We start from the raw sequence: 24601 nt of genomic DNA on the forward strand, positions 1-24601 counted from the left end.
TTTTAGTAGAGATGAGGTTTCATCATATTGGCCAGGCTGGTCTTGAACTCCTGACCTGAAGTGATCCACCTGCCTCAGCCTTCCAAAGTGCTAGGATTACAGGCGTGAGCTACCACGCCCGGCTGATCGACTTAAATTATACAATTCTATCATAATATATCATGGCCACTTTACTAAATATTGAACAATTAACCTGGAAAAAAATGTTCATTTTTTAAAGTTATATTCAAACATTCAACAGAAGAGGCATAATGTGTAACTGAAATGCAAGGCACTTCAAGAAATGTAGGACTACCCTTGTGCAAAGCTGATGGGAATGTAAAATGGTGCGGCTGCTATGGTAAACAATTTGGTAGTTCCTCAGAAAGTTAAACATAGCCTTATCATATGATTCAGCAATTCTACTCCAAGGTGTATACTACTTGTATACCTACTTGTACACCTATGTTCATAGCAGTAATATTCATAATCACCAAAAAGTACAAATGTCTAACAACAGAATAAGGGAAAAACAAAATGTGTTATGTACATACAAAGGAATATTGTTCAGCCTTCAAAATGAATGAAATTCTGATACATTCTACAACATGGATGAACCTTGTAAATATTATGCTATTAATAAGTGAAGCAAAGAGAAACGAAAAGAAAAATACTATATGAAAAATACTATATGATTCCAATTATAGGAGGTACTTAGAGTAGTCCATTTCATAGACAGAAAGTAGAATGGAAGTCAGTATGGGCTGGGGGAAGGCAAATGAGGAGTTATTGTTTAATGGGTATGGAGTTTCTGTTTACAAGGAAGAAAAAGTTCTGGAAATGGAGAGGTGATAGTTGCATAGCAGTTGTGAATGTACTTAATGTCACTGAACGATACACTTAAATATAGTTAAAATGGGCTGGGCGCAGTGGCTCACTCCTGTAATCCCAGCACTTTGGGAGGCCAAGGTGGGCGGCCCACCTGAGGTCAAGAGTCCGAGACCAGCCTGACCAACATGGTGAAACCTCGTCTCCACCAAAAAATACAAAAAATTAGCCAGGCGTGATGGCGCATGTCTGTAATCCCAGCTACTCGGGAGACTGAGGCAGCAGAATCATTTGAACCCGGAAGGCGGAGGTTGCAGTGAGCTGAGATCGCACCATTGCATCTAGGCGACAAGAGTGAAACTCGATCTCCAAAAAAATAGTTAAAATGATAAATTTTATGTTACATATATTTCATCACAATTTAAAAAAAAATCACCAAAAATGGGATGTACAGCTAAAAGATTTTGTACCTATTTTCAAATCTTACTGTATTTGATTATTTTTCTGCCAGTTTCAATGCTGCTTTATTCCTCACAGAGAGCTTCTTATAGATAGTGTGGGCTTAGTGTGCTCAAAGTTGCACTGGTGGATGTGCATATTTCAGAGTCCATTGGTTTTGTTACAAGTGTTGCAGGAAGAGTTGAGAACACCATATTCATTAGGTTTTTTTTTTCTTTTTCTTTCTTTTTTTTTTTTTTTTGGAGACGGAGTCTGGCTCAGCCATCTAGGCTGGAGTGCGGTGGTGCTCACTGCAACTACTGTCTCCTGGGTTCAAGCGATTCTCCTGTCTCAGCCTCCCGAGTAGGTGGGATTACAGGCACCCACCATCATGCCCGGCTAATTTTTGTATTTTAGTGGAGACAGGGTTTCCTGTTGGCCAGGCTGGTCTCAAACGCCTGACCTCAGGTGATCTTCCTGCCTCGGCCTCCCAAAGTGTTAGGATTACAGGCGTGAGCCACTGTGCCCGGCCAATAGTTTTTTTCTTACATGAATTTGTTAAAAATGTGGGTGAGGGGTGGGTGAGTGAGAGGTAATTTAAAAGTGGAAAAACAACGCATGCCGGACTTCACGTTCCAACACGGAAAGCATGCTTTTGTGGCAAACTGAAAGGCTAGGGATTAAGGGTGATGAAATGCAGGCCTTCCGGCCCTCACTCTGTTCCTGATTTCTGGTTGTGGGAATCTGTTCTGAATCCAGCTGCAAGTGGAAAACCCATCTTTGGCTGAGCAGCCGGGGAGGCCCTCCTGCCAATCCCCGAAATGTGCTGCTGAAACTTTGGCCCTGCAAGGCTGGAGCTAGGGCTGTCTTCCCCAGATCTGTGCAGCTGTCAAGGTGGCTGTGATGGGACTGTGACCGCCCTCTACACTGCATTTTGGCAGTGACCTTGAGACCAGCCAGCTCACCACAGCTGCCCTGCTCTGCTGCCGCTGTTGCAATGCCAGGTGGCTTAAGAGGGGTCGTGGGGGGCACGGCTCCCGGTCCAGTCTTTCCCAGTGTCTGGCAGGTGCTAGCTGTGGTGCCAGCTGTCCCACTGCCTACCACCCACTGGGCGTGGGGGCAGTCCAGGTGTGTGTCGGGAGATGGTGGTTTGTTCTACCCCTGGCTCAGGTCCCGATCCCTGGGAAGTGGGTGGTTCCGTCTGACCGCGAGTCTGGTGCGCAGACCGGCCCCACGTGGGGACTTGCTTGGCAGGTCTGCGGATATAGATGCTCAGTGACAGTTGATCTTGGGAGACAGAAGAGCCAAAGGTGTCCTTTTGTCCCAAAGATATGAGTCCGAATTTTCCTTCTCGTAGGGGAGAAATTTTATTTGGAAATGAAGGTCATCAGAAATGCCCAGAGCAAGAGAGAAAATCCTTTCTCTCTAGCCACTCAGAGTGGCAAGTGTATTTTGAAAACTCCTCCCTCTCTTTTTGTCCTCATCCTGTCCTTTTCCTTTTCAGTGGCTTTACTGTTATTTTTTAATTCGCCATTGTCATTGGACATTTATTGACAGAAATCAAATTGCTGTGTTTCTGGGCAAAGCGCCTGCTGCAAAGAGGTGTGGTTCCTGAGGAATGAGACACGCAGCCCAACAGCTGAGCCTACACTGTCCTCACATAACCTCCCTGCCTTAAATATCGCCAATATTTAGCCTTGCCTTATAAAGTAAAAATGCACAATACCTTCCAGAGTTTCAGCAAGCCCAAATGCCCCCCTAGGCTCAGTTATGTCTCCTGTACATTGGAGGCAGAGCAGCGCACCCCTCCCCCATGCAGACCTGCCCTCGGAACCGCCAAGAGGTTACTAATCAGGAAGGCTCTACCATCGATCCAATGGTGGTGACCTGGGGGATTTGTGTGCATTGTTTTTGTTGAAGCCTCCTGTGATTTCGGCGCGACCAGATCCTCTGCAGCGAACTCCATGTCGCAGCTTGTGGCTGCCTGTGTCCTGTGGTGAGAGCCGAGCCGCACAGGAGATCCTTTGTCTAGGAAGGGCTAGGCTGAGAAGATCACTTTGGAGTTGCTAAGCTCTGCATTGCCATTGGCTGCACTCTTTGTGGGGCTGTTTTTGCAAAAGGCATGCCCAGCACGTCTACAGTGCTGGCAGGCCAGGGCTGCCTTTAAACACCATGATAATAATACCAAAAAGCAGTTTGCAGAACTGTTCCACTGTAGAGGCTTCCTCTGCAGAAGCAAGCAAGATGGCTACCTCGTGGGCTTCGCTGTGAAGAATGCAGAGGCTAATTAAGACAGACTTTAAGGGGAAAAAAGGGTATTTCCCTGCTTCATCTTTATGCAAGATTTTTTTAGTGACTTTTAAAGTATACATTTTACATAAGCTCTTTAGGTTCTGCCTAGCAAACATGTTGATGATTTTAAATGGTATAAATAGTTTTACAGAGAAATAGCCAAAAATTTTGGGGATGTGGGAGCTAATTTTATTTCTTAAACAGAGGCTCATTTTGCAATTTGATTTTTTTTAGGTTATAAAGGAAAACAAGAGGCCCCAGAGGGAAAAGAAGCCCAAAGTTTTAAAGGTAATCAGCTGTTGATTAAATAATATTTCATTATTTTTCCATTTCATATAGTATTTTTCTGCACTTGGGTATATTTGGAGTACAGTATATGTGAATTCTCCCAGATTTTCAGTAGATGGATGAATTTCCACTCAACTAAAGTGTTTTCTCTCTCTTTTTTTTGATGTGCTGCATAATGTGCATATTAGCATCCTTTATTTTCAACTCCACTCAAGTCTACAGAAAGAAAAGTTTGTATGCAGAGTGTTGTGAATAAAATTTGTTTTTCTTTATAGCTCCCTTTGTAGCATCTGCATTTGTGGTGTTGCACCAGTGTGTAAACTTAAGCCCTTTAGAAGAAAGGCACTATTTGAAGTTGACAGCTATGATCCATTGTGATTTTAATAGACTGTCCATTAAAGGCTATTTTAAAATGTATGATTCTTTTCCAAAGAAAAAGTCCTTAATGTGTAAGTAGTGGAGATCTTACAGCCAAATTATAGTTGTTTAATCTCAAATTCTCATAATATCATCTTTAATTTTGGCTTTCATGAAGCCATAAGAATATGCATGTTTTCTTTATTTTCTATAGTTTGCCTGATGAGTATTAATAGTAACCTAATTCAGTTATAAGCTCACAGTCTGTGTGATGAGATTTGTACAGTGTTTAGAAGGGTTAATTTAAAAGCATATGGCATCACTAAAAGTTCAAGGCTAGCTTTAGTCTAACGAATAGGTGCTTATGTGTTTAAGATTTCAAGTGGTGTATTGCTATTACAAATGTAAGCAACCTTTGCAAGCCACCTTTTAAATTCATGAAGAAATACTAAGCAATAAAATGACTTATCTTTAATTATTTTGTGTACATTTAATTTAAAATAGTTTTACCTAATCCTAGCTTTCCTTTTTTACACATAAAGTTTTAGCACTCAAAGAGGAACAACATGTTGAACTATGAATGTGGCAGAATTTTATTTCATTTGTTGCCCCAGTGTGTAACTTGAAAATGTTGACACGGAGAACCAAACCTTGCCCTGCTTTCAAATTTGCCTGACCACATTGAGTTTCTGCTTCCTGTGTATATACAGCATTTTCATGTACCTGTTTCATCAACCAACAAGTATTTATTTAATATTTACCACATAGTCAGCAATGTGCTAGGCACTGTGAAATGAATGAAATTGCTTGACACAAATTTTCACTGGGCCTGGACAAATAGAATCATGGTTATTCTCAAGGTAAATTAAACCCTTTTCTGTTTTTCTTCTTTGTGTTGATCCATCGACCCCCATTTATTCCTTTTCCTTCCAACAGAGATAGAAGTTTATCATTAAAAGCTCCTTCTATACTTTCTGTGTTGGCTATATCCATCTCAGGCATTTTGTGAAAAATAGATTTAGTCTTCCTCTTAAAAATGGCTCTCATTTGTTGGGGTTGTGGATGGGGATTAGCAGGAGAAAGGGATAGATTATGTGGAGAAACTAATACAGACCAAGCCTAGTATCTATGTCTTCCCCTGCCTTGGCTAGGAAGTAGAATTGGACTTTGGGAATGCAATTTAATTCTATGTTTATTTTGTTAGATTGTGAGTGTCCTGTCACCTGAAATAAATGTAAAAAGTAAATATGCCATGTGTTGCTTTTTGGAATCACGGTAGTGGACTCTGGCTTAAAAGAAAAAGAATAAAAGTGCCTGTGGGTGGCCACATTTCATCTGCAACAGCAAGCAGAACCAAATTGTTGCTCACGTTCCTCTATAGTTAGCAATTACTGTACAAGAGCAGGAAAATATTCTAAAAGGAAAAAAAATTTCTGATGTTGGCATTTAAAAATGGTTTTCCACATTTTCTGTTAGACATAATTTTTTTTCTCATCCAAAGAAAGCTTTGTTTCTCTGCTTCACAGTAGAAATGCTAAAAAAAACTTTCAGATTTTAGCTTGATGTGTATAAAATTCATAGAGCAAATGTAGAATATTATATAATCCTATAGAAGACATAAAAAAAATGAAACCTGTGTTTGGGAGGGAGAGTGGGAGAGGAATACAACTGTCAGCTTGAGGTTTTATGAGTGAGGACTTCAACATTCTAGGAGCATGCTACCTGGGGGACCAGTGATGGGAATCTCACAGTTTATGATTTGGTCTTCCATCATTATTTGCTGTCTTTACATTTGGTGTCATTCCAGAAATTTAGTCTGCTTCCTTTGACTTTATCCTTTTAGATGTTGAAATCTCCTGGATCATTTACCCTTTGTCAGGGTGGATGCTGCAGGTATCCTGATTGACTTTTCATTTTCATCATCTATTAGAAAGTAGTTGGATACGTGAAGAACCTGATTCAAGAAGTTGGGTATAGAATTTGAGACTTGTTTCATCCTACACTGACCTGAACCTGATAACTATTGAATCCAGTTGTGGGGCTGAAATTGGCTGGCATGTCTTATATCCCTCTCCTCTTAAAAACATACCTGTTATCCACCAGGTATGATGACTCATATGTGTAATCCCAGAACTTTGGGAGGCCAAGGCGGGAGGATTGCTTGAGGCCAGGAGTTTGAGACCAGCCTGCAAAACCTAGCAAAATCCTGTCTCTATGAAAAATTTAAAAATTAGCTGGGTGCGACGGTGTGCACTTCTAGTCCTAGCTACTCAGGAGGCTGAGGAGGGAGGATTGCTTGAGCCTAGGAGTTGGAGGCTGCAGTGAGCTATAATCACATGAGCTATATGCACTCCAGCCTCAGGAATAGAATGAGACCTTGTCTCCCACCACCAAAAGAACACTATTATCCATATTTATACCATATTCATTCTATTGTACTTCAAAATTAAAAACTAAATAGCGATCTAAATCCTGATTAGAGATTCTTCCTGTAGCTGAAATGACAGCTCTGGCCAAAGCACTCTAAAGGCCAGAATGGGTATCAGCTAATGGTGCACTAGTGGTGGGTGGGGGTAGCTCAGCATCAACTTCCTATTCAAGCCTATTGGTGATCACTAGTTATTTTCATATATAGATGACATCTTGTTAGCAATGTTATTATTGGAAACACAAGCATTTCCTTGACTCTTGATCTAGGTAGAGGTGTGGTCTAATTCCAGTCCTTCAATCACGAACTTAGCCTTTTAAGTGACGTGGTTTGGAATTCCTCTTGGAAGAAACATTTGTGTAAATAACTTTTACTTTGTGTGTGTGTGGTGGGAGCAGGTGAGTAGGAGTGTATACTCCCTTTAAGAAAGTCAATTTTAAGATGATAATAGTTTTGTTAGATTGTTAGTCATTGTCCCTGGAGAAAATCAGACAGCACAGTCAATTGGGGGTTTGAACAGAGTTTAATAAAGGAATTACTTTCAATAGTGTGGGAGGGTTAAGGAAAGAACTAAGGATGGTGAAGAAATCCAGATCTAATGAAGGCAGAGCTATTACTAATCCTAGGCCTGAAGGGGGATGGTGAGTGGAAACCAGGTAATGTAGCTACAGCTGAGTAGAGGAAGCATGGGCTGGAGCCTTTGGTAAAGAGATGCTCTTGCAAGGAGTCAAGTGGGGGGTGGGTGTGGGATAAATGCCCTGCTCTCCAGTCTCCTGCTGCTTTGATTGGTTGATCCCAATGGGGAGCCAGAGTGAAAGGGGAGACCTCTGATGTAGTACACGCTGGTCAGCCTTCTGGGATGTGTAAGAAGGTTATGGAAGGTGGAATGTAGGCCTGGAAGGGAAAACAACATACTGGGCATGACTAGTGACCACAGGGGTGGTATGGTAGAGTGAACAATAGTACTAGAACTGTGATTACATAAGATGGTAACATTAGGCAAAGATGGCTGAAGAGTACATAAGAACTCTATACTATTTTTGCAACTCATCTGTAAATCTAAAATTATTTCCCAATAAGCATGAGGATCCTTGAGGGGATGCATTTATACATTCTGTAATTAGATAGTCTTTTTGGCTGGTAAGGAATATTTTCTAGCTATTTAATTATAAAATATCATCAGAGTAGTATTTGGAAGAGCTGGGTGAACAAATATAAAGAAATGTCAGTGGATATTAAACTAGGAGAGTGTCTCCAGAGGTTGATTTTAAAAAGGCAAAATGAAAACTAAGGGATCTTCCTGCAGGGTTCAGCACTGACTTGCTCTTCTCTTTTCCTTCATTCCTTGATGATGCTGATAAAGAACAAGTGGGGCCAGGAGAGTGGCTCAGGCCTGTAATCCCAACACATTGGGAGGCTGAGGCGGGCAGATCACCTGAGGTTGGGTGTTCGAGACCAGCCTGACCAACATAGAGAAACCCCCATCTCTACTAAAAATACAAAATTAGCCAGGGGTAGTGGCGCATGCCTGTAATCCCACCTACTCGGGAGGCTGCGGTAGGAGAATCACTTGAATCCAGGAGGCGGAGGTTACAGTGAGGAAACAAGCAAAAATTGCCGAGATGATGAAGGAAAACATCATCTAGGGAAAGATACTTAACATTCCCATCATTTATAAATTGTTTTTATTGAATTTATTTACTTATTTATTTGAGACAGAGTCTCACTCTGTCACTAAGGCTGGAGTGCAGTGGTGCAGTCTTGGCTCACTGCAACCTCTGCCACCTGGGTTCAAATGATTCTCCTGCCTCAGCCTACTAAGAACTGGGATTACACACATGTGCCACCACGCCCAGCTAATTTTTTTGTATTTTTAGTAGAGACGAGGTTTTGCCATGCTGGCCAGTCTGGTCTCAAACTCCTGGCCTCAAGTGATCTGCCCACTGCAGCCTCCCAAAATGCTGGGATTACAGGTGTGAGCAACCACGCCTAGCCCATAAATTATTTTTATATATACTAGACCAGTGCTGGTTTAAAAGGACTAAATTATACTCTGGTTATGTTTGTTGTTTGTTGTTTGTTTGTTTGTTGAGCTGAGGTCTTGCCGTGCTGCCCAGGCTGGTTTTCAACTCCTGGGCTCAAACTATTTTCCTTTCTCATTCTCCTGAGTAGCTAGGATTACAGCCACCCTCCCCTGCTAAAATTACTAAATTAGATACAATTGAGTTACATTGTTTATTTTAAAATTCTATTAAGCTATAAATAGGCCAGGTTCGGTGGCTCATGTCTGTAATCCCAGCACTTTGAGAGGCCAGGATGAGTGGATCACTTGAGGTCAGGGGTTCAAGACCACCCTGGCCAACATGGTGAAACCCTGTCTCTACTAAAAATACAAATATTCGCCAGGTGTGGTGGCAGGTGCCTGTAATCGCAGCTAATTGGGAGGCTGAGGCAGGAGAATCGCTTGAACCTGGAAGGCGGAGGTGGCAGTCAGCCGAGATTGTGCCTCTGCACTCCAGCCTGGGCGACAGAGGGAGACTCCCTCTCAAACAAACAAACAAAAAACCCTACAAATGAAAGATAACATAGTTGCTAATGATTTTCTTCTGCTTATTTGTCTATAACTTTGTTTCAGTTAGTAAAATAAATCATTGGTAAAGTAATTTCTTTAGAGTTTTTAAACAGACGGTTATAATGCAACATTCTATTACTTGTAGCAACATGTTGCAAATTTAAGTACTAGATCAAATACTAAGCTTGACCATCCTTCAGGGGAAAAACAAAAACAAAAAAAAAAACACATGTCATTTTGATAGGTCCTTATAGTCCCAGGCAACTAATCCCAGACTTCTGGATTTAATGGGCCAGTGAGGAAAAAAATCAGAGTGGGTGTTGAAAATATTCACAAGGGAATACCAGCTTTAATTTTTAAAAATGGAAAGAAGATAATATCAGAACACAGGAAGGTCATAGAAATTTAATAATTTAGTTTTATGACAACACATTGTCTTTATTGAACTCATTTTGTCATAAACTGGCAAAAACTGTTAAGGACGTGTGCTCACCCATCAGTGTTTATTCACACAATCAAAGACACACATGGGCTTCGTTTGTATACCCAGAAACTGTAATACAGCATTTTGCCTGGAGATCAGACTGGATTTCAGGGCTGAGTTCTCACTAAACCAGCTCATATACAGGCATTCGTTTATCACTGCAGCATGTATATTTCCAGTGACTCAAGACTCATGTCCATTCTGTGATTTCTAGGAATGATCCCAAACAGAGAATCAAAGTGAATAAAAGCCAAATGGAGTTGGACGGGTTTAAGGAAAATTTCATTCAGGCTATTAAAAAAAAAAAAAAGACTTGAATTCTTCCTAGTCCACAAAAGAACATATGCCTTGTATCCTGAATACTTAGGCTCATCTGGTACGTGTTTGTGTTTTGATAGTGCCGGATTCATACTGTTTCTGAGTTGTACTTTCTTTACTGTATAGCTCTCCATTTACTGACTAGAATATATTCTCATGAGTCAGATGAAAAGAGCCAACTAATAACTTTATTTAAGTTTTGTTTGGATCTTAAGTTTTTTTTTTTTGTTTTTTTTGTTTGTTTGTTTATTTGTTCTTGAGACAGGTCTCACTCTGTTGCCCAGGCTGGTGTGGAGTGGCACAATCTTGGTTCGTTGCAACCTTTGCCTCCGGGGTTCAAGAGATTCTGTAGCCTCAGCCTCCCAAATAGCTGGGATCACAGGCACACACCACCATGCCCAGATAATTTTTGTATTTTTTGTAGAGACAAGGTTTTGCCAGGCTGGTCTAGAACTCTGAGCTCAAAGCAATCCATTCTCCTCAGGCTCCCAAAGTGCAGGCCTGCACCACTGCACCTGGCCTTCTTAATTCATTTTTAAGTGAAATATTTTTAATAATGGAATGTCTTGCAATGTCATTCATATATATATATGAATATATATATTCTCTCTATATATAGAATATATAAATATGTTTATATATATAAATATAAATATATATTTCATTTTCAAAGATTTGATGGTAAGGTTTGCCAACCAAAATGGCCTATGCAAGAGAACGTGGGTAACAGAGGTAACAGTGTCTTTTTTTTTTTTGGACAGAGTCTTGCTCTGTCACCAGGCTGGAGCACAGTGGTGCAATCTCGGCTCACTGCAGCCTCCATCTCCCGGGTTCAAGCAGTTCTCCTGCCTCAGCCTCCGGAGTAGCTGGGACTACAGGTGCATACCACCGCACCCAGCTAATTTTTGTATTTTTAGTAGAGACTGGGGTTTCATCATGTTGGCCAGGATGGTCTCAATCTCTTGACCTCATGATCCACCCTCCTTGGCCTCCCAAAGTGCTGGGATTATAGGCATGAGCCACCGTGCCCAGCCGACAATGTCCTATTTATTTATTTATTGAGACGGAGTCTCACTCTGTAGCCCAGGCTGGAGTGCAGTGGCATGATCTCAGCTCACTGCAACCTCCGTCTCCCAGGTTCAAGCGATTCTCCTACCTCAACCTCCCGAGTAACTGGGATTACAGGCGTCCGCCACCATGCCTGGCTAATTTTCTTTATTTTCAGTAGAGATGGGGTTTCACCATCTTAGCCAGGCTGGTCTCGTACTCCTGACCTCGTGATCTACCCGCCTTGGCCTCCCTAAGTGCTGGGATTATAGGCGTGAGCCACCGCGCCAGGCCTATTATTTATTTATTTTTGAGATGGAGTCTTGGTTTGTCACCCAGGCAGGAGTGCAGTGGTGTGATCTTGGCTCACTGCAACCTCCACCTCCGGGGTTCAAGTGATTCTCCTACCTCAGCCTCCTGAGTAGCTGGGACTAAAAGTGTGTGCCACCAAGCCCAGCTAATTTTTTGTAGTTTTAGTAGAGACAGGGTTTCACCATGTTGGCCAGGCTGGCCGCCAACTCCTGACCTCAGGTGATCCGCCTACCTCAGCCTCCCAATGTGTTGGGATTACAGGCATGAGCCAACATGCCCAGCCATATTTATTTTTTAATTAAAAAAAAATTTTTTTTAATACAAAAGAGGGGTCTCAAATGTTGCCCAGGGTGGTCTCAACCTCCTGGATTCAAGCGATCTTCCTGCCTTGGCCTCCAAAAGTGTTGGAATTACAGGCATGAGCAACCTTTCCTGGCCCATAGTTTTGTTTGTTTGTTTATATGTTTTTATGACAGGGTCTCACTTTGTCACCTAGGCTGGAGTGCAGTGGCTCTGCTCACTGCAGCCAAAACCTACTGGGCTCACGTGATCTTCCCACCTCAGTCTCCTGAGTACCTAGGTTGACAAGTGTGTGCCACCAAGCCTGACTAATTTTATTTTTTTTTGAGATGGAGTTTCGCTCTTGTTGCCCAGGCTGGAGTGCAATGGCGTGATCTTGGCTCACTGCAACCTCCACCTCCCAGGTTCAAGTGATTCTCCTGCCTCACCCTCCCTAGTGGTTGGGATTACAGGCATGTGCCACCACGCCTGGCTAATTTTGTATTTTTAGTAGAGATGGGGTTTCTCCATGTTGGTCAGGCTGGTCTCGAACTCCTGACCTCAGGTGATCCACCCTCCTCGGCCTCCCAAAGTGCTGGGATTACAGGCATGAGCCACTGCCCCCGGCCAAGCCTGACTATTTTTAAAATTTTTTGCAGAGACCAGGTTTCCCTGTGTTGCCCAGGGTGATCTTGAACTTCTGGGCTTAAGCAATCATCCTGCCTTAGCCTCCTCAAGTGTTATCCCACAGTTTTAAATAGTAACTCCTTTTCTGTACTTCTGAAGTTTTTGTCATCTATGTGTAAAATTCAGTGATGTCACATGAATTTGATTAAAGCATAGATTATTTTCATAATTCTAGGAAATCAGATATTAAATAATAAACTTATTCTAGGAGTTTGGTTATTTTATATATATATAGCGTGTGAGAGCATTTTAAAATATTTCATTTATTTATTTTTAAATATTTTATATACATATACACCATATCATAGGATTATCTGGGAGTTGGGTGAATTATTTAAAATATGTTAGGCAGGGCACAGTGGCTCATACCTGTAATCCCAGCACTTTGGGAGGCTAAGGCTAGTGGGTTGCCTGAGCTCAGAAGTTTGAGACCAGCCTGGGCAACATGAGAAAACTACATCTCTATATATTTATAAAAAATAAGGCAGGGCACGGTGGCTCACCCTTATAATCACAGCACTGTGGGAGGCCGAGACAGGAGGATCACGAGGTCAGGAGATCAAGATCATCCTGGCTAACACAGTGATACCCCATCTCTACTAAAAATACAAAAAATTAGCCAGGCGTGGTGGCGGGCGCCTGTAGTCCCAGCTACTTGGGAGGCTGATGCAAGAGAATGATGTGAACCCGGGAGATGGAGCTTGCAGTGAGCTGATATTGCGCCACTGCACTCCAGCCTGGGTGACAGTGCGAGACTCTGTCTCAAAAAACAAACAAACAAAAAGGCCAGGCATGGTGACTTATGCCTGTAATCCCAGTACTTTGTGAGGCCGAGGCGGTGGATCACTTGAGGTCAGGAGCTCAACCAGCCTGGCCAACATGGTGAAACCCCATCTCTACTAAAAAAAAGGAAATAACAAAAATTAGCCAGGCATGGTGGTGGTTGCCTGCAGTCCCAGCTACTCGGGAAGCTGAGGTGGGAGAATTGCTTGAACCCAGGGGGCGGAGGTTGCAGTGAGTTGAGATCGCCCACTGCACTCCACCCTGGGTGACAGAGGGAGATTCCTTCTCAAAAGATAAAAAAACACAAAAATAAAAAATATGTTAAATGTTTAGAACCGCTTGGCATACTGTGGTTTTTTTGTTTTTACTTTTTTTTGACAAGGTCTTCCTCGGTCACCCAGGCTAGAGTGTAGTGGTGTGATCATGGCTCACTGCAGCCTTGACCTCCTGGATCAATTGATCTTTTACTTCAGCCTCCCAAATAGCTGGGACCATAGGTGTGCACCACCAATCCCGCCTAATTTTTATATTTTTTGTAGAGATGAGGTTTTGCCATGTTACCCAGGCTGGTCTCAAACTCCTGGGCTCAAGCAAACCCAAAGTACTAGCACTACAGGCATGAGCTACCTTGCCCAGCTAGTAATTTTTTAATAGTGATTATAATTACAAGTAAAGGTGTAATTTATGTTCATAAGAATATGAAGTGAACTAGGCTGGGCGCAGTGGCTCATGCCTGTAATCCCAGCACTTTGGGAGGCCGAAGGTGGTGGGTCACAAGGTCAGGAGTTCGAGACAGGCCTGGCCAGCATGGTGAAACCCCGTCTCTACTAAACACAAAAATTAGCCAGACATGGTGGCGGGCACCTGTAATCCCAGCTACTCGGGAGGCTGAGGTAGGAAAATTGCTTGACCTCAGGAGGCGGAGGTTGCAGTGAGCTGAGATTGTGCCACTGCACTGTAGCCTGGGCAACAGAGCGAGACTCCTTCTCAAAAAAAAAAAAGTGACCTTTCCAAAAAATGTGGATTTCAGTCAGGTGCAGTAGCACACTCATGTAGTCCTAGCTACTCAGAAGGCTAAAGCAAGAGGATTGCTTGAACTATGGAGCTCAAGACCGTGGTATGCTATGAGAGCTCCTGTGAAGCCACCGCACTCCAGCCTGGGCAACATAGCAAGACTCCATCTCTTCAAGAAAAAAATAAGTGGGTTGGGCATAGTGGCTTATGACTGTCATTCCAGTTACTCAGGAGGCTAGGGTGAGAGGATCATTTGAGCTTGGGAGTTCCAGGCTGCAATGAGTTGTAATCATGCTACTGCACTCCAGCCTAGGCCAATTGTCAGAGACCCTTTCTTTCTTTTCTTTTCTTTTCTTTTCTTTCTTTTCTTTTCTTTTCTTTTCTTTTTCTTTCTTTTTTTTTTAGAGGGAGTCTCGCTCTGTTGCCCAGGCTGGAGTGTAATGGTGCGATCTCCGCTCACTGCAACCTCTGCCTCCTGGATTCAAGTGATTCTCCTGCCTCAGTCTCCATGAGTAGCTCGGGAGGTGGGGGGGGTGGGGAGAGAGGGAGAGAGAGAGAGAGAGAGGGAGGGAGGGGAGAAAGGAAGGAAGGAAGGAAGAAAGGAAGGGAGGGAGGAAGGGGAAAAGAAAATAATATTATTTCCTCTTGGTATATTCACTTGATAGCCTTACTGAGAAATATAAGCCTATATTCAACAGAGGCTTTTCATTCCTTTTGAAAATGTCACTTCTGTTTTAATTTACTTACAATGGATGAGGCATATCTTGTTGTTGTTTTCTTTTTTTTTTTTATTTGACAGAGTCTCACTCTGTCACCCAGGCTGAAGTGCAGTGGCTCGATCTTGGCTCACTGCAACCTCCGCCTCCTGGGTTCAAGTGATTCTCCTGTCTCAGCCTCCTGACTAGCTGGGACAACAGGGGCACACCACCACACCCAGCTAATTTTTGTATTTTTGGTATAGACGAGGTTTCACCATGTTGGCCAGGCTGGTCTTGAACTTCTGACCTCAGGTGATCCACCAGCCTCAGCCTTCCAAAGTGGTGAGATTACCAGCATGAGCCACCGGGCCCGGCCAGTCATTTTGTTTTAATGTGATCAGCAGGTACTAGGACCCAATTCTATAATCCCAGCAGTGTGGGAGGCTAAGTTTGGAGAATCCACTGATCCCCGGAGTTTGAGACCAGCCTGGGCAACATGTTGGGATCCAGTTTGAAAACTGAAAAATAAAATAAAGTCCTTTATAGTCTATTAATTTGCTTAAGTTTTTATTTGCATTTATTATTCTATATGTATGGGGGTTTTTTGTTTTTGTTTTGTTTAGGAGATAGAGTCTCACTTTGTCACCCAGGCCGTAGTGCAGTGGCAAGATCTCGGCTCACTGTAGCCTCACCTCTCAGGCTCAAGCGATCCTCCCACCTCAGTCCCCCAAGTAGCTGGGACTACAGGTACACACCACCACGCCCAGCTAATTTTTGTGTTTTTCATAGAGACGGGTTTACAGCATGTTGCCCAGGCTGGTCTTGAACTCTTGAGCTCAACTGATCTGCCCACCTCAGACTCCCAAAGTGCTGGAATTACAGGCATGACCCACCATGCCTGGCTGCTTTTATGAATCATTACAAATCCTTTAAGGGTAGAGTAGTATTCACCTTTTTGTTCTCCACAGTGTCTAACAGAATATCTTGTGTTTACAACTCAATACATTTATCTTTTTAATGAATAATTGAATTCATACACATTATAGCTTAACTTCAGTCAGTTAAGTCAGAACTACAAAATTTGTGTAATTGCATCTTGGTGTAAAGGAAAAACTACTTCCTCAAATCATTGATCCAGCGTTGATAGTCTCTGTAATTAATTGCTATGGCAAATCAAGATACATATTTAATACATTTATTTTAATTTGGTTAACTTTTCTCTGACATGTTACATTTAAAAGAACCCAAACCTACAGAAAAGTCTTTCTTTTTGATGATGGTTGCATAGACTACTTGTTCCATTTTGTAAAAAAATCTTTTGATTTGATGGTCAAGTGATTTGGGTAACTGACAGTAAATTTCAGTAAGTTTCAGGTAGGTTGTCCAATCTATGTTTAACTGTTGGAGTCTTTGTTGGAGACTGTCCAAAGTTCCTAATTACAGGAGATTAGCAGATTGGAAAAAATAATGTAATTGGGTAAACTCAGAGATTAAATTGATCTGCTGCATCCACCCCAGTGGTTTCAGGGAATGAAGATAAAAGAATGCCTTAATCATTGGTTCATTGAAAAAACAACATGGAAAAAAAAAGTAATGATATAATAGAGCAATGGGGAAGCACTCACAAAAACACTACTGGTTGGCCGGACACAGTGGCTCAGCCTGTAATCCCTAGCACTTTGGGAGGCCGAGGCAGGTGGATCACCTGAGGTCAGGAGTTCGAGACCAGCCTAGCCAACATGGTGAAACCCTGTCTCTACCTAAAGTACAGAAAATTAGCTGGGCATGGTGGTACGCACCTGTAATCCCAGCTACTCAGGAGGCTGAGGCAGGAGAATCGCTTGAACCCGGGAGACACTGGTTGCAGTGAGCCGAGATCGTGCCATTGCACTCCAGACTGGAGGACAAGAGCGAGACTTCGTCTCAAAAAAAAAAAAAAAAATTGCTGTTTAAAGTATTTTGGTGAACCTTATTTGAAGGTTATTTGCTGATTAAGATAAGTAGAAGCTATTTCAATGTTAATTTTGTCCCTCCACCCATGAAATCTGGTTTATGCTCTCACTTAATGGATAGTGTAAAATAGCTGAACTGAAGATTGGAACATTTCATGAGAAATTTAATCCACCTGTCCAGGGTTTATTTAAAGCCTGTGATATTTGATCACTTCACTAAAACAACTTAGGACCATGCTGACCATGCTGATTTAGTTGGGCCACATTTTCTAAGATGCTATGCATTATCACAAATGATACAATTATACTATAAGGTCTAACAGCTAATTTCTGCTCAATAGAATTTCTAGGGGGAAATACTGAAGATTAATTTATGTGCTGTTCATGGTCAGAAATAAAAAACAGTGTAAATACTGTGTTTTCCTTCAAAAGTGGAGAAAGGAAAAAATGTATTTTTCTGTCCTGACTTTTCAAAAAACTCAGTCAAATTCACTGCCCAAGAAATGTGATTTGCTAAATTCTGAAATGAAAAAGTATCCTGTCTTCTCACTTCTTAATTTTTTGAGACAAGAGTCTTGCTCTGTTATCCAGGGTGGAGTGTGGTGGCACGATCTCAGCTCACTGCAACCTAACCTTCACCTCTTAGGTTCAAGCGATTCTTGTGCCTCAGCCACCTGAGTAGCTGGGACTACAGGTGTGCTCACTGCATTCTCCACCTCCTGGGTTCAAGCAGTTCTCGTGCCTGAGTCTCTTGAGTAGCTGGGATTACAGGTGTATGCCATCACACCTGGCTAAATTTTGTATATTTTATAGAGACAGGGTTTTTTCATGTTGCCCAGGCTGGTCTCAAACTCCTGAGCTCAAGCAATCCGCCCACCTTGGCCTCCTAAACTCCTGGGCTTACAGGCGTGAGCCATCACACCCAGCCATTCTCACTTCTTTCTTGTGTGTTTCATAAAAAATTTAAAATTTTTATGGCTTTTTTTTTTTGAGTTTTACTTTTTTGCCCATGTTGGCACTCCAACGTGGTGTGATATCGGCTCACTGCATCCTCCGTCTCCCAGGTTGAAGCAATTCTTTTGCCTCAGCCTCCTGAATAGCTGGGATTACAGGCGTGTGCCACCACACCCGGCTAATTTTTGTATTTTTAGTAGAGATGGTTTCACCATGTTGGCCAGGCTGGTCTCGAACTCCTGACCTCGTGATCCACCCGCCTGGGCCTCCTGAAGGGCTGAGATTACAGGCTTGAGCCACCGCTCCCAGCCTGGCATAGTACACAGTATTCCCTTATACCCTACCCTGAGGTTTCTTTTTTTTCCTCTCTCTCTCCACACAGTTTTTACCCTGAATTCTTTGAGAGTAAGTTTCAGAATGGTGTTTCTTTTCTTTTCTTTTTTTGAGATGGAGACTCACTCTTTTGCCCAGGCTGGAGTGCAGTGGCATGATTTCAGCTCACTGCAACCTCCACCTCCCAGGTTCAAGCGATTCTCCTGCCTCAGCTTCCTGAGTAGCTGGGACTGCAGGCACCCACCACTACGCCTGGCTAATTTTTGTATTTTTAGCAGAGATGGGGTTTCTGCATGTTGGCCAGGCTGGTCACGAACTCCTGACCTCAAGTGATCCACCTGCCTCGGCCTCCCAAAGTGCTAGGATTACAGGCATGAGCCACTGCGTCCAGGCAAGAACAGTGTTTTTTATTTTTTATATTTTGAGACAGAGTTTCACTCTTATTGTCCAGGCTGGAGTGCAATGGCGCGATCTCAGCTCACCGTAACCTCTGTCTCCCAGGTTCAAGCCTCCCAAGTAGCTGGGATTACAGGCATGTGCCACTACGCCTACGCCCGGCTAATTTTGTATTTTTAGTAGAGATGGGGTTTCTCCATGTTGGTCAGGCTGGTCTCGAACTCCCGACCTCAGGTGATCCGCCCGCTTTGGCCTCCCAAAGTGCTGGGATTACAGGCATAAGCCACCACGTCCGGCCTAAGAATGGTGTTTTTTAAACTCCTTACTAGAGTATTTCCTATAAATAAGGACATCTTAGCTTACTGTAAATCATCAAATTAAGGAAATGAACATTTATACAATGCTATTATTATCTAATGTACTAATGTACTGATAAGGAAATTAACATTGATACAATGCTATTATTATTTAATCTACTAATAAGGAAATTAACATTGATACAATGCTATTATTTCATCAGATAATAATTTACTCATCAGTACCTATTCAGATGTCACCAATTGTCCTAATACCTTGTAATTCAGACGCTCATTATGCATTGCATTCAGTTGCTATATCTCTTTAGTCTTTCAATCTGATATTTTCCAAGCGTACAGGTCAGCTATTTTTGAAGAATTTCCCTCAAATTGAGTTTTGCATTTGCTGATGATTACATTCAAGTTATGCATTTTCACAAGAGTATCACAGAAGTGAGTTTGTGATCTCTGCAGCATCGTATCTGGAGACACATGTCAATTTGTGACCTTAACAGATCACTTGGTTAAGGTGTATCTGCCAGGTTTCTCCAGTACTAACTTAGTCTTTCATTTTGTAATTAAGCAATCTTTTGAGAATTTTTTTTTTTAATGAGACATGGTCTCACTCTCACCCTGGCGGGAATGCAGTAGCTCAATCACAGCTCACGGCAGTCTCAAACTTTTGGGCTCACACGATCCTCTCGATTCAGCCTCCAAAATTGCTGGGATTACAGGTGCATGTAAGTATGCCCAGATAATATTTAAACTTTTTTTTTTTTTTGAGACGGAGTCTTGCTCTGTCGCCCAGGCTGGAGTGCAGTGGCGCAATCTCGGCTCACGGCAACCTCTGCCTCCCGGGTTCATGCCATTCTCCTGCCTCAGCCTCCCGAGCAGCTGGGGCTACAGGCGCCCACCACGACGCCCAGCTAATTTTTTGTATTTTTAGTAGAGACGGGGTTTCACTGTGTTAGCCAGGATGGTCTCAATCTCCTGACCTCGTGATCCACCCGCCTCGGCCTCCCAAAGTCCTGGGATTACAGGCATGAGCCACCGCGCCTGGCCTTTTTTTTTTTTTTTTTTTTTTTTTTTTTTTTTTTTTTGAGACGGAGTCTTGCTCTATCGCCCAGGCTGGAGTGCAGTGGCGCGATCTCACTGCAAGCTCCGCTTCCCGGGTTCACACTATTCTCCTGCCTCAGCCTCCCGAGTAGCTGGGACTATAGGCGCCTGCCACCACGCCTGGCTAATTTTTTTTTGTATTTTTAGTAGAGACGGGGTTTCACCATGTTAACCAGTATGGTCTCGATCTCCTGACCTCGTGATCCACCCACCTCGGCCTCCCAAAGTGCTAGGATTACAGGCGTTAGCCACCGCGCCTGGCCAATTTTTAAACTTTTTTACAGACATGGAGTCTTGTTACATTGCCCTGGCTGGTCTTGAACTCCCAGCCTCAAGCGATCCTTCTGCCTCAGCCTCCCAAAATGCTGGGGATACAGGGACACCCTACCAAGCACAGCCTGAGAAGATACATTAAGACTATGTCAATATACTGTTAATTCTCTTTGGTTTTTAGCATCCATTGAGGATCTTTGTTTTTTTTGTTTGTTTGTTTGTTTGTTTTGAGAGGGAGTCTCACTCTTGTTGCCTAGGCTGGAGTGCAATGGCATGATCTCGGCTCACCACAACCTCCACCTCCCGGGTTCAAGCGATTCTCCTGCTTCAGCCTCCTGAGTAGCTGGGACTTATAGGCATGCGCCACCACGTCTGGCTAATTTTGTATTTTTAGTAGAGGCGGGGTTTCACCATGTTGGTCAGACTGGTCTGGAACTCCCAGCCTCAGGTGATCCACCCGCCTCGACCTCCCAATGTGCTGGGATTACAGGCGTGAGCCACCGCGCCTGGCCAATGGACTCTATTTTTAACCCAAACATTTTATCTTGTACCATGTTACCTTTACGTCATCTTGAATTTCTTTCTTTCTCTTTTTTTTTTTTTAAAGAGACAGTGTCTTGCTCTGTTGTCCATGCTGGTGTGCAGTAGTACAATTATGGCTCATTGTAGCCTGAACCTCCTGGGCTCAAGTGATCCTCCTGAGGCATTGGGATTACAGGCGTTAGTCACCATACCTGGCTTTGAATTTTGGGGGTGGGGAGGGCATAGCAATGGTACCTCTTGAGTTTTTAAGAGTAAAGGAGGAAACCTTTTAAGTAATAGTAAAAAATGCTTATGGCTTCTTGTGTCACTCCACTCATGAAATCTAGTTTATACCTTCACTTAAACTAGATCAATATCTGATTGCACAGTGTAGTTAAAATGGCTAAGTTTGGTTTAAGAAAGTTGGAGTCAGGTTACTGTATGGTAAAATGTGGCTGTAGTAACTGGCATATTTTTTAAAAAAAATAGGTATTAGGGAATGAGGCTAACTAGGCATAGAATTCCACGGGAATGTGACATAGACTTCATTCCTTCTTTATCTTGCCCTTCCTGCTCTTATCTTCCACAGAGCTTTATCTTACCAGGACCTTAATACAAACAAAAGAAGCCCAATGCTGAAAGTCAATGGAGATAAAGTAAAATAGAAGATAACCAATTAATCAGTGACAACCTACTCCTCCAATCTGGGACCACCTAGCTGTGAACAAAAGAAAAAAGATTTGTTTATGTACCAGATAGGAAACAAATAGCAGAAAATGCCCTTCAGGTCATGTACAAACACAAAAATTACCTCTGAGTGAAATTTTAGCTTATTATAATAGCATAAGTATAGTACAATCCTATGTACAACTGATAATCCAAGGGCAACATGTCAAAGTGTAGTCAAAATTAATTTGTTATGAAAGAAAATGCAGATTAATCAGTATGATTTAAAAGGAAATCTGGGCCTGGCCTGGTAGCAAATGGTGTCATCTCAGCACTTTGGGAGGTTGAGCTGGGAGGATCACCTGAGCCCAGGATTTCAAGGCTGCAGTGAGTTATGATCTTGCCACGTCACTCCAGCTTGGGTGACAGAATTAGACCCTGTCTCTTAAAAAGCAAATAAATAATTAAGTAAAAAGAAATTCAATGAATTCATTTAATAGTAGTTTTAAATTTTCGAAAGGAATTAAAGGTACAAAGGAAAAGTAAACATTCTCCTGTATACTTGTTCCTCCCTTCTTTCAATCTTAGTCTCATATATCAGAGGTGCAGTCTTGATAGTTTTGTGGGTATCTTTCTAGGTATAGTCTATATACATACAAGTATCTCTATAGTTACATATGTGTAGTATAGACACATGTGTCCACCCCTTCCGTTATTCTCTTTTTTTGAGCCAGAGTCTCTATCACCCAGGCTGGTGTGCAGTGGTAGAAGCTCATCAGCTCACTGTAACCTCCGCCTCCCGGGCTCAAGCGATCCTCCCACCTCAGTCTCCTAAGTAGCTGGGAACACACATGCTCACCACCACACCTGGCTTTTTAAAATATTTTTTGTAGAGACAGAGGGGTCTCACTTTTTTGCCCTGAGCTCAAGTAATCTAGCCCCCTCAGCCTCCCAAAGTGCTGGGGTTACGGGTGTGAGCCAACTGCACCCAACCACGCCCATTCATTTTGAATGGCAGAATTATTTTTAAAGTTTATTTTTATTGTAAATTGACAAACAATAGTTGCATATATTCATGGGGTACAAAACAACATTGCATTTTTATGAATACAACGTGGAAAATTAATCTAATTAACATATTTATCACCTTAAATAACTTATGGTGAGGATATTTGAAATGTACTCAGCAAATTTGCAGTGCACAGTACACTAATAGCTATATTTAACATGCTGTGCAGGTGTCATTAGTTTTTGAAGTGCATTTTACATATTGTGAAATACTCAGATCACAAATATATTATTCAGCGAGTTTTGATGACTGATTTCCCCAGTCTCATTGAGATATGATTTGTATACCATACAGTTCACTCATTTAAAGTGTACAATTCAGGCTGGGCATGGTGGTTCATTCCTGTAATCCCAGCACTTTGGGAGGCCGAGCTGGGCAGATCACTTGAGTTTAGGAGTTCAAGACCAGCCTGGCCAATATGGTGAAACCCCCGTCTCTACTAAAAATACAAAAATTAGCCAGGCGTGGTGGCAGGGGCCTGTAACCCCAGATACCTGGGAGGCTGAGGCAGAGAGAATTGCTTGAACACAGGAGGCGGAGATTGCAGTGAGCCAGGCACTCCAGCTTGAGCGACAGAGCGAGACTTTGTCTCAAAAATAAATAAATAAAATAAAGTGTACAATTCAGTGGCTTTTAGTACATTCACCAATGTGCATCTATCATGACAATCAATTTTAGAACATTTTCATTACCTAAGAAGTAACCCTGTTCTCCTTAGCTGTCATTCCCCAATCCTTCCATTTACCCCAGCCCTTGGCAACCACTAGTGTACTTCCTGTCTCTGGATTTGCCTATTCCAGACATTTCAAACAATGGCATCATATAGTACGTGATACTTAGTGACTGACTTTCACTTTGCATAATCTTTTCCAAGTTTATCTGTTGTAGCATATATCACTACTTTTCTTGAGTAATGTTTCAATGTATGTATTATGTATATAGCTCATTTTCTTTCTATATCCTCCAGTTGTTGGCCATTTGTACACCACCCCCACCCCCAAACACACACACTTTTTAACTACTATGAAGAATCCTGCTATAGTCATTCATGTGGAACTTTTTGTGTGGACATGTTTTCACTCTTCTTGGGTACATACCAAGAAGTGGAACTACTGGTTCCTATGTTAACTCTATGCTTGACTTTAAGAGCCACTGCCAGACCTTTCCAAAGCAGCTTCATCCTTTTATGTTCCCACTACCAGTGGATGAAAGGTTCAGTTTCTCTACATCCTGGTCAACACTTATTAATGTCCATCTTAAAAATTTTAGCCTCCTAGTGGGTGGCAAACTGGTATCTTGAATAGCTAATGGTATTTAACATCTTTTCATGTGCCTCTTGGCCATTTGTATGTTTTCTTTGGAGAACTATCTATTCATATTTAAATTGCGCCATTTGACTGTTTATTATTGAATTATAATAGTACTTTATGTCCTACACACAAGTCCTTTATCAAATGTATGGTTTGCAGTTATTTTATTCTGTTAGTTATGGTCTCATAATTTTGGTTGTGTTCAGTTTATCTTTTTCTTTGGGTAATTATGGTTTTGGTGTTAAAAACAGTTGGCCAGGCATGGTGGCTCATGCTTGTAATCCCAGCAATTTGGGAAGCCAAGGTGGGAGGATTGCTTGAGCCTAGGTGTTTCTTGTTGTTGTTGTTGTTGTTGTTTTGAGACGGAGTTTCACTCTTGTTGCCCAGGCTGGAGTTCAGTGGCGTGATCTCGGCTCAAAGCAACCTACACCTCTTGGGTTCAAGTGGTTCTCCTGCCTCAGCCTCCTGAGCTCAGGAGTTTGAGACTAGCCTGGGCAACGTGGTGAAACCCCGTATTTACTAAAAATACAAAAATTAACTGAGCTTGGTGGCTTGCACCTGTAGTTCCAGCTACTCAAGAGGCTGAGGCAGGAGAATCTCTTGAATCCGGGAGGCGGTTACAGTGAGCTGAGATCGCACCATTGCACTCCAGCCTGGGTGACAGAGTGAGACTCCATCTCAAAAAAAATAAATAAATAAAATTTTAAAATCTGGCTGATTAAATACCAGTTTCCCCTGAGTAGACGATTTGGGGTGTTTCTTCTGGTTTTCCTTCTCTACATCTGTTGCATTTTCAATTTTTTTCTGTAGTGAGACTTTAATAAAATCAAAGAAATTTCAAATTATAATGAAAAACACAAAGGCTAACCTTAGGATTAAAGAACTGAGTGATCAACGTCATGTACATTAT

The 24601-nt window shown here is 42.3% G+C and overlaps 1 protein-coding gene across 18 annotated transcripts in view, besides 7 other annotated features; it reads left to right on the forward strand.

The window, feature by feature from the left end:
• TET1 (tet methylcytosine dioxygenase 1) overlaps window positions 1–24601 on the forward strand; it is a 134151-nt gene that overhangs the window by 36873 nt on the left and 72677 nt on the right. For 8 of the 18 annotated variants that reach the window (XR_001747211.2, XR_001747212.2, XR_001747210.2 and 5 more), the window contains exon 3: window positions 3772–3825. Coding sequence is in view for 8 of the 18 variants with exons in the window: in NM_001406365.1 (NP_001393294.1) it covers window positions 3772–3825 (54 nt within the window). In the remaining 10 variants the exon portion in view is untranslated. Of the gene's footprint in view, window positions 1–3058; window positions 3242–3264; window positions 3671–3771; window positions 3826–6025; window positions 6076–24601 lie in introns of those variants that run through there. The other 10 variants (NM_001406370.1, NM_001406372.1, NM_001406369.1 and 7 more) reach the window with 5 other exon arrangements.
• Window positions 1667–2232: an enhancer, noted in NCBI's record as "H3K27ac-H3K4me1 hESC enhancer chr10:70358633-70359198 (GRCh37/hg19 assembly coordinates)". NCBI's record gives its function as "activates a minimal SCP1, AML or CMV promoter by ChIP-STARR-seq in primed H9 embryonic stem cells {active_cell/tissue: H9 hESC(primed)}" and the evidence as "EXISTENCE:reporter gene assay evidence [ECO:0000049][PMID:30033119]".
• Window positions 2935–2984: an enhancer, noted in NCBI's record as "active region_3465". NCBI's record gives its function as "activates an Ori minimal core promoter by ATAC-STARR-seq in GM12878 lymphoblastoid cells {active_cell/tissue: GM12878}" and the evidence as "EXISTENCE:reporter gene assay evidence [ECO:0000049][PMID:35858748]".
• Window positions 3005–3304: an enhancer, noted in NCBI's record as "active region_3466". NCBI's record gives its function as "activates an Ori minimal core promoter by ATAC-STARR-seq in GM12878 lymphoblastoid cells {active_cell/tissue: GM12878}" and the evidence as "EXISTENCE:reporter gene assay evidence [ECO:0000049][PMID:35858748]".
• Window positions 3415–3504: an enhancer, noted in NCBI's record as "active region_3467". NCBI's record gives its function as "activates an Ori minimal core promoter by ATAC-STARR-seq in GM12878 lymphoblastoid cells {active_cell/tissue: GM12878}" and the evidence as "EXISTENCE:reporter gene assay evidence [ECO:0000049][PMID:35858748]".
• Window positions 11867–12546: an enhancer, noted in NCBI's record as "H3K27ac hESC enhancer chr10:70368833-70369512 (GRCh37/hg19 assembly coordinates)". NCBI's record gives its function as "activates a minimal SCP1, AML or CMV promoter by ChIP-STARR-seq in naive and primed H9 embryonic stem cells {active_cell/tissue: H9 hESC(naive and primed)}" and the evidence as "EXISTENCE:reporter gene assay evidence [ECO:0000049][PMID:30033119]".
• Window positions 19678–20178: an enhancer, noted in NCBI's record as "H3K27ac hESC enhancer chr10:70376644-70377144 (GRCh37/hg19 assembly coordinates)". NCBI's record gives its function as "activates a minimal SCP1, AML or CMV promoter by ChIP-STARR-seq in naive and primed H9 embryonic stem cells {active_cell/tissue: H9 hESC(naive and primed)}" and the evidence as "EXISTENCE:reporter gene assay evidence [ECO:0000049][PMID:30033119]".
• Window positions 20179–20679: an enhancer, noted in NCBI's record as "H3K27ac hESC enhancer chr10:70377145-70377645 (GRCh37/hg19 assembly coordinates)". NCBI's record gives its function as "activates a minimal SCP1, AML or CMV promoter by ChIP-STARR-seq in primed H9 embryonic stem cells {active_cell/tissue: H9 hESC(primed)}" and the evidence as "EXISTENCE:reporter gene assay evidence [ECO:0000049][PMID:30033119]".

This window comes from Homo sapiens, chromosome 10 (assembly GCF_000001405.40).
Source record: "Homo sapiens chromosome 10, GRCh38.p14 Primary Assembly".
NCBI lineage: Eukaryota > Metazoa > Chordata > Mammalia > Primates > Hominidae > Homo > Homo sapiens.